This window comes from Homo sapiens, chromosome 13, assembly GCF_000001405.40.
Source record: "Homo sapiens chromosome 13, GRCh38.p14 Primary Assembly".
Lineage (NCBI taxonomy): Eukaryota > Metazoa > Chordata > Mammalia > Primates > Hominidae > Homo > Homo sapiens.
In genome coordinates this window covers 31,467,358-31,476,782 of record NC_000013.11, presented here as the reverse complement: position 1 = coordinate 31,476,782, position 9,425 = coordinate 31,467,358, and the positions used below count along the sequence as shown (strand labels likewise).

The following is a 9,425-nucleotide window of genomic DNA, read 5'->3' as shown; positions in this document are numbered from 1 at the left end:
GTTGTTTTAAATACTCACATAATTGATTTCACATAACTTGCTTTAAATTTGAAGGGGTTACCTACATTTTAAAGTTAGTAGGGTGTTTATTATCTCAGATAATAAGGCTCAGTAAGGGTGAACGGGGAAGAAAAGGGAAGTTATTTGCTACAAAAAGTATTCAAATATATTTATATTATAAATATATACATATATATGTATATGTATATAAGAAGAAATTGGCTCATGCAATATGGAGGCGGAGAAGTCCCAAGATCTGCGGTCAGGGAGTGGGAAAGCCACGGAGCTGATGCTGTGAATTCCAGTGAGTCTGAAAGCATGAGAAGTAGGCAGAATTATCAGTTTCTGGTGTTATCTTGAGCAGCTGAATCAGCTCTGGGCTACTCGCCCGTTGACTTTTATAAAGTGAAAAAAAAAAATGCCTTCTTCCTAGTACAGATTTCTACTGAAGTTGAATGCAGTGCAAGCTGATATTCTACAACAATTACATTTATGTACTATTGATGTAAGAAAAGACATCAATAGTACATCTATTGGGCAGAAGGAGAATCCAGAAATGTAACTTGTTATATAACCTAATATAATAATAAGCAAAGTATGATAAATTACTCAGAGGCAGATGAATTACATAAATTATTTCCTGTAATTAAAAATAGAGCTTTCCATAACTCACATTAAATTCCAGGTGGATCAAGAGATATATAAAATATAAAACTATAAACAAAAATATATTTTTCAAGCAAATGCATTTTATTTTTTTAATATTAAATATATTTAAAATATATTTTTTAAATCTTAATCTAACTTCAAAGAGAGAAAGAACTTTCCAAGTATAAAATCATTGAAAGAAAGAAATCCTAATGAAAACAATGGATTCATTTGATTTCGTAGACATAGATAAATATTTTATATGCGCACACAAACATAAGTTTAAAAGTCAATCAAGATATTGGGAAAATATTTACCTCAAATGTGATAAGCAAAGGCTACTTTCCTTAGCATATGAATATTTACACATTAGAAATAAAAATGACAAAGAAAAATGAGCAGATGGCATTTCCAGGGCAATTCACGGGAGAAAAAAATGCAAATGGCTGGGTCAGGCGCAGGGGCTTGTAATCCCAGCACTTTGGGAGGCTGAGGCGGGTGGATCACTTGAGGTCAGGAGTTCGAGACCAGCCTGGTCAACATGGTAAAACCCCATCTCTACTAAAAATACAAAATTTAACTGGGTGTGATGGTGCACACTTGTGGTCCCAGCTACTCGGGAGGCTGAGGCAGGAGAATTGTTTGAACCTGGGAGGCGGAGGTTGCAGTGAACTGAGATCATGCCACTGCACTCCAGCCTGGGTGATAGAGTGAGACTCTGTCTAAAAAAAAAAAATGCAAATGGCCAATAAGTATAAAACGTATTTGACCTCACTAATAATCAAAGACATTTAAGATAAAACAAAATATTTATCTCAATATTTTGAGTTTAGGTTATCAAAGAATGTACCATAAGAAAATAATCATAAATAGGAATCATAATTTATGTACATATATGTTCATCAGATTGCTATCTCAGCTGAGTTATTTATACTGGCATAGTATAAGCAGTTGCATTTAACATAAATTTGAATCACAAATTATTGCTTCTAATGATTTAAAATTATTCTAGATGCATACTTCAAACAAAAATGATTTTGTCTGCAGAAGATTGCCTGTCGTGCACTTGGTCAATCACACACAGGCAATGGCATTAAATGCTGTAGAAATTGATCTCAGTCTTCGAATTTTCAAAGCTAGGAGAGGTGGCATGACCAATTCAAGAGTAGTGAAGGACTTTTACTCAGGCCTCAAATCTATTTTCAGAAGCTCCGGCTGATGACCAAGAGAAAGTAGGTATTCCAGATAAGAAAAAACTTGGAATAAGTTTAACGAAACAGGAAATGCAGAAAAACCCTGATTTTTTTTCAGTATACATCAAAATTATATTTTCATTTCTACAAGAAATGAAGAAGTGATGATCACAGGCCTCGATTATGAAAAGCATCACATACATCACTCTACTGGTGGTGATAGCTATTGATGATTCAAAGCAATTTATGACATTATCTGGACTAAATAAAATAGAAGATTTAAAATAATGCATTATGTGTTACATTTTAAAAACTTGTTTTCAGTAAAATGTTATTAAGTTAATAATGTATCTTAAAATTGAAAGCTTCCAAGGTCAAGGCAATATGATACACACACGCATAGGTTCCTGGAAGCATGTACGACAAAACACTAAATATAGTTACCCCTGGATTACGGAATTATGACTACTTTGGGTTTTCTTTTTACTACTTTTTTATCTTTCTCAGTTTTCCATAATGAGCTTTATTCTTTTATAAAACCAGGATTAAGAAAAATATTTTTACAGTGATTGAATGTCCTCTTTCACCTAGTCTGAGTGTAGAAAAATTCCCCGTTGACATGTAGTGTAGTTTTGGACCCTATTTATTTTTCAAGGTTGAGTCTACCTCTAAAAGGATGGGAAACCTAAACTGTTTTTCCTACTGTCACATAGTCAACAATGAATACTTTACCTCCGGTCACCAAAATGTGTGGGGAGTTCTCCCCACCAGCAACCAATCAATTCTGCAGTGGACGCCAGCTAGGTATCCTCTAACTCAACTCACTTCTGTCACTATCTACCTGGAAATAGCATCAGATACCAAGTAGTAGGTTGTCACGTATACTCCTGACTGACCAGTTATAAATTGGGAGTTCTCACGATGGACCCCCTCCTTGGGCTTGATTAATTTGCTAGAGTGGCTCACAGAACTCAGGGAAACACTTTACTTTCACGTACCATTTATTATAAAGGATACTACAAAAGATACAGACGAGCAGCTGGATGAAGAGATGCACAGGTAGTTGACGTGGAGCTTCCATGTCCTCCCTGGGCACGCAACCCTCCAGAAACCACCATGCTTTCAGCTCTCTGGAAGGTCCCAGAATCCAGTCCCTTTTAGGTTTTGATGGAGGCTTCATTACACAGGTATGACTGACTCTTTACTTCATTGGCCATTGGTAATCAACTTTACCTTCAGCCCTTCTTCCCTCCCTGGAGATTGGGGGCTGGAGCTTGATAAAAGAAAAACTTCAGCTGAATTAAATTTAAAGGAGTTTAATTGTGCAATGAACAATTGGTGAATCCGTTCATTTCTAGTTCAGGGCTGTTATGAATAAAGCTGCAATAAATATTTCCAAGTTAGCCTACTTGCTGCTGTTGAATTTCTAATGTTCTCAACGTAACAACTGCTTTCGTTCAGCTCTAAAGGATTCTTTGTCTTCAAAAGATGTGATAAAGGTGTTCAAAATAGCTTAGCGTTGGCCTTAATTTTTAAATGTTGCTACTATAAATTTCGAAAGTAAAACTTAGTGACTATTAACAGTGGAAAATGTATCCACAGAAAAGAGTATTATTTACTCAATAAGCATTATCAATAACAATCTGAAGGGAAGTCTACATGGTAGATTATATTGTATATATATTTATATTTGTGTATAGTATATTATATTATATATTTATGTATATTATATATATTTATAATTAAATTAAATATATATTATATATAAAACATATTATACCATAAAGACTTCCCTTCAGATTGTTTTTAATAATGCTTATTGAGTAAATATACACATATATAATATACATAAATATAAATGTATATTATATATACATAAATCTGCTCTTTATCTTGCTCTTTATCCATCATTGTGGGAATAAAACAAAGCATTCTGTGTATCATCTCTATAAATATACGAAGCTGTAGATGAAGGTGCAAATAGCTAATATAGTAGGTAACAGTATCAAATCGGCAACAATATGTATAATAGGAGAAAATTTGCCAGAGTTTGTAGAAGTGATTCCAGAATCAGGGAAAAACTGAAACTTAATCAGTAGTTCCCCAATTAGACCACACATTGAAATGACCTAGTAGGAGATATAACCAGAAGGAAATAGAGGAATGTGATGAAAACAATGTTTTTTAAAATTAGAAATTATTATGCCCCTCTATAATCATGGGTGTTATGATTCAGTAGATTAAGGTGGGGCTAAGAATTAACAATTTTAAGATGTATCTCTGGAAATTCTGACACATTTGTTTGGATGAGAATTTAAGACCTAATTTAGAATAAGGATTGGATGAGCTCCAAAACCTTTCTGAGCTGAAGATACTATATTCCTACTAATAGTTTAAATGCCTTCTGATATCCTTGAATTACGCTGAAGCCAGATGCCTTCTTAGCAATGCCAAAAGGAATTTACTATGATATGATAATACTTCTCTCAAAAGACAAGGGAAACACCATAAAGAGCACAGGTAAAGATGGGGAGGATGAGAGGAGATGCAAGGATAGAGGAATTAAAACCAAGAAGGGATGATGACAAAATAATTCTCAGGAGTCTGGCTTCTGATTTTATAAATTCTCAAAGTTTCTAGATGCTTAAAATGTGAATGAATTTTATGTCATTATCTGAAAAATGGACTGGCATTTCTCTTGTGTTAAATGGATGTAAATGGAGTGAAGTATAGATTCTGCACCAGCAGTCTAAGCTATAAAAATATAATTGCTCCCAAATTGAGATGCATTATCAATTTTTAGTTTAATATTGGTTCAGAATTAAAGGGCATCAATCAGCATGTTTGGCACAGGCAGAAGTGTAGAGCAATAGCGATACGTTTTTAAATACAGAGAATCAAAACATTAGTTATTATTTTTTAAATTACCCACTATGGGATGAGTTTTGTGCTAGGTATTTTACTTACCTTGTCCCTATTCTTTATATTAGTCCTGCAAATTAAGTGTGGAGTATGGTATCTCAATAGACAGAGACATGTACTAGAAAGAAACCTGGGAATAGGATTTTAGTCCTAGCTGTGCCACTAACTGGGTGATCTCTGTCTTGTAACTACTTAACTCTCTCAATTTAAGATCTGCAAAATGAAGAGTAACTTTGAGCTTTTTAACAGTGTATTAGTGAGGATCCCCTGTACCACACAGCTGTAACAAACAGCCCCATTAACTCAGTGCCTTACACAGTAACAGGTTTTTGGCATGCAAAGTCCACTGTAGACCTGGCTGACTTTCCAGATCCGATTTCCTCCATGTGGTGATTCAGTCAACTATGCAGCTTAGAGCCCCTGGTTTCATCATTTCACAGGAGGAGAGACCTCAACAATCTCCAAGGCTTTTCACTGCCTTAAAAATGACACCTCATGTCTTCTCAATTTGTCATTGAGCAGAACAAGTCACAGGACCCCATATGGTTGGAAAATAAAGACTCCTATATGTCTAAGAAGGAAAGAAAAAGTGGATTTTGGAAAGCCCTAGCAGGGTCTACCATAAATCGTCCCTTCTCTTTAAGTGCGTGAGTACCTATAGCCTTCAGGATACTTGGTTAAGACGGTTGGATTCAACGTTTTGCAAATGCGTAGGGAAAAATAACCTCAATAATTACCCAGGCTCTTGCTATTAATCACCTCCAATGAGGGTTTATTTTGTGGATTAGTATTATTACAACGAGCAATCTTTAGATATTATGATGAGACATTAAAAATCTTAACTGAAATAATAATAATAATAACGGCAACATTTATGGGAGGTTGTGTTGTCTAGGCATTGGGACTAAGTGCTAAGTGCTTTAACGAACTAAACTACTTCAATCTCACAGTTCTATGACATACGTATTTTTCTAATCCTCATTTCACAGCTTCAAAACTAAAATAAAAGAAAACCTTTTTTTAAAGCTTAGGTTAAATAACTTATCCATATTTAAATCATTAGTAAATGCCAGAGCATGACTTGAACTATCTATGCCTGACCTTGAAGCTCATGTTCATAACCAAGTCATATTTCACCTTGTTTTGTTAACAAATAAGGAAGCCAAAGCTCAGAGAAATGCATGGCCTGATTAGTGTCATCTTGAAGGCTGAAGTATCAACCTCATCTTGAAGGTTGTGAACTACAAAGCATGTATCCTCTGGAGTTAGAATATTTACTCTGCATTTCTTCCATGGCTCAATTGCTTATGATAAAACAAGGTGACTCAGAGAATAGCCCCAAATGCAGAAGTTCATCTGTTACATTCACTTACATTCAACACCCTGGCCATGCCTCTTAGACCTCCAGTCTTTCCAGGATTTCTTTTCTTCAGGTTTATTTTCCTTGGCCATGTCTATTGTGTTGAAGGACATTCAGAGTCCATTCAAGGGCACATCACTTTTGACTACAGCACAGAAGAATCTTGGTGTACAAATCTCCTATTTTAAAAAAATATTTTAAAAACTCTTCTCCTGTTCAAATCATTTCTCCTTGAGAAGCAATTGTATCACCAGCCAATAAATATTGGTTGAAATAAATGAATTGAACTATTAAATCAGAATTCAGTTAAATGCATTAACAAAGAACTTCTTCTGTGTCAGGAGTGAGACATTGTTAAAAAGTTATTCTATGTACCTATTCTTCCATTATTCAAGAATAGCTGCAGTTAAACAAAAGAGATGGTGAGTGACTTAAATTACTATTTCAGCAATTTAGGATTGGATGAGCACTAAGGCCCTTTAGCTCATTCAATTGCCATAAGAGTTGTGCTCTAAGAAGAGACAGTCCCTTTTGTTTCTGTCCTTTAGAACATCTTTTCTTTCAATAAAATCTCATGTTTCCCTTTGCTTATCTTAAGAAACTAAAAATGTTCCTAGGGTCTCTTGAATACAGTATCAGAATAAGATTTATAAGAAAAACTAAGTTATATTTAAAACTATAAGGATATATGTTTATCTCTTTTCCTTCCTTTCTCTTTCCTCCTCCTGCTTTTACTACTCCTCCTTCTTTTCTATTTATCTTTCTCCTACCACCTTTCTTCCTGAAATTTATGCTTATCCTTATATTAACTACTAAATGAAGTATGGGAGTTACCCATTTGTCTTGGGTGATGGATGGGGAAAATCCAACACAGTAACACAAAATATGAATATTTTATTGTATCTAGAATGTTTAATTTATTGTATCTAGAATGTTTATTGTATCTAGAATGTTTCTGAAGGGTAAAATAGCTTCCAGCAGTGACTTAAAAGCTAATTGAGATGTTAATTAACATGTTAATTTTAAACACTTGGAAAAGAAGGAAAATTAAAAATAAAATAAAATGAAAAATAAATTAAAAATAAAATTAAAAATAAATTAAAAATAAAATTAAAAATAAAAATAGAGAAAAAATAGGAGAATAAAAAGAAAGAAAATATGAAAAGAAAAAAATCTAACCAGAAAGAGGAAACAGGATGTAAGAAGCAATGGAAAGCATGATCAATTTATGGGTAGCTATAAATAAACTCTAAGAATAATTATAAAAATGACAAATATCTGTTATAAGCTAGATAGGATTAAAATACAGAGCATCAGTAATGTGAGAAAATATCTGAGTTAAAATGGTCAGAGTTTCTTATATTGCTAAGGAGAAGGCAGAGATGTTGATTAACTGAGACTATGTCAAATAAGTGGGAATTACTAAAAGACTAGAAGTAAAATGTGGTAGAAATTAAAAAGAACGAAGAAAACTCCATCAATTCAACAGAAGTCAAAGAGGAGGAAAAGAAGCATAATAAATAAAAAGAACAAAATAAGACTGATAAAATAAATCCATGTATCCTGACAATCACTGTTATTTAATGAAACTCCTTGTAGAAGATGAAGACTCTCCAATTAGATTATTTTCAATAAAGCAATTTGCTGTTTATAAAAATTATACTGAAAATATAATGACAAAAAAAAGATTGAAAGCAATGGATTAAACACGGTGACTTCAATATACAAGTTTGCCTCGTTTTCCTACAGCACCACTTTTAAACAAGAGAGAACTTTTAGAAGTTGTAGACAGGAAAAAAGACGACAGCAATAAAATTTTGCTGACTGTAAGACAGATGAATATTAATTGATCTTACAGATTGGAAAATTTTGAAACCTAACACAGCACTGTTGAGAAATCCTAGTGAAGGCCAGAAGCAAAACGAGTCGTTTTGCAGAACTCCAGATACAGAGGAAGTAGAAGTGATACAGGAGTTAAAAAGAAATTATTTAGGCAGTTAGGGTAAGAGAGTCTTCGATAAGGCTTTCCTTGTGACAAAAAGCAGCCCCCAAATCATTTCTTTTCTAACAAAGAGCAGCCGGTAAAATCAGGCTGCAGACATAAATAAGAAAGCTGGAAGCTTGCATAGTTTAATGTGGGCAGCTCTCCCAAAAGGAAAAGGCTACCCCGGGGGCCGGGCATATTCAACATGGAAGTTCCCCCTTCCCTTTTCTTTGACACCATATGTGCAGTAAAAAAGCAGGCAACAAGGCGCCAGCCAGGTAGAGACACCATCTGCATAATAAAATATTAGGGTGGGAGATGGCCAGCCTCTTCAACGCTATGTAAATGGCACACCTGGCCCAACCAATCCTCTGGGACCTATGTAAATCAGACACTGCCTCTTCAAGCTGATATATAAAAACCCGTGCATTTCACCTCAGAACCAAAGACCCACTCAGCAGCCCCTTTCTCTCTGCAGGAGAGAGAACTATTCTCTTTCTTTCTTCCATTAAACCTCTGGCCTTAAACTCACTTCTTGTGTATCTGCGTCCTCGATTTCCCTGGCATGAGATGATGAACCTCGGGTATTTACCCCAGACAAGGACACCACTTCAGAAGCACGAGTCACCTCTGAAAATGGGCACAGAAGAAGCTAAAAACAGAAAATTGATTGAAAATCTGTAACAGAAGCAGTTAAACCCCTAGATCCCTCCTCAGTCCCCCTGAACTAGGTAATTACCCTGCCCCAGCCTGGCAGAAGGCTGGAGGAGACTGCGTGGGAGGTGCACTAGTCCTGGGGACCCTTTCATACAAAAAGGGAAACCCTTAACTCCCTCACTCACAGCCTCACTCCCAGGCAGAAAATTAAAGAGCGACTTTCCGATGAAATTTACCAAGAAAAGAGATCTACTAATAACTGATACTTCAGGCACTGGACCCAAGCTTCCCCAAGGGAGCCTTTCAGCCCGTCACTCTCAATGAGCCCTGCCCATAACAAGGGACTTCTAATCAATGTTTTAGAGTGATAGTCTTGAAATCGAATGGGTGACTAACAGCATCAGACATTTGTAAAACACCATTAATGTGGAAGACAGAGACCAAACAGAACAAATTGGAAGGAAAGAAGGAAGGAAGGAAGGGAGAAGGAAGGAACGAAGGAACGAAGGAAGGAAGGAAGGCTGGCTCACATCCATAATCCCAACACTTTGGAAGGCTGAGGTGGGAGGATTGTTTGAGACCAAGAGTCTGAGGCCAGCCTGGACAACATAGCAAGACTCAGTGTCTATGAAAAAAAAAAAAATCAGCCAGTCCTAGTGGT

At 35.5% G+C, this 9,425-nt stretch overlaps 1 long non-coding RNA gene across 3 annotated transcripts in view; it reads right to left on the bottom strand.

Annotated features, from left to right (window-relative positions):
- Window positions 1-6,166: 6,166 nt before the first annotated feature.
- The window catches only part of LOC105370150 (uncharacterized), a 50,628-nt gene continuing 47,369 nt past the window's right edge, over window positions 6,167-9,425 (bottom strand). For all 3 annotated transcript variants that reach the window (XR_941830.1, XR_941829.1, XR_001749806.1), the window contains one exon: window positions 6,167-6,302. This is a non-coding gene — a long non-coding RNA (uncharacterized LOC105370150). The remainder of the gene's footprint in view (window positions 6,303-9,425) is intronic.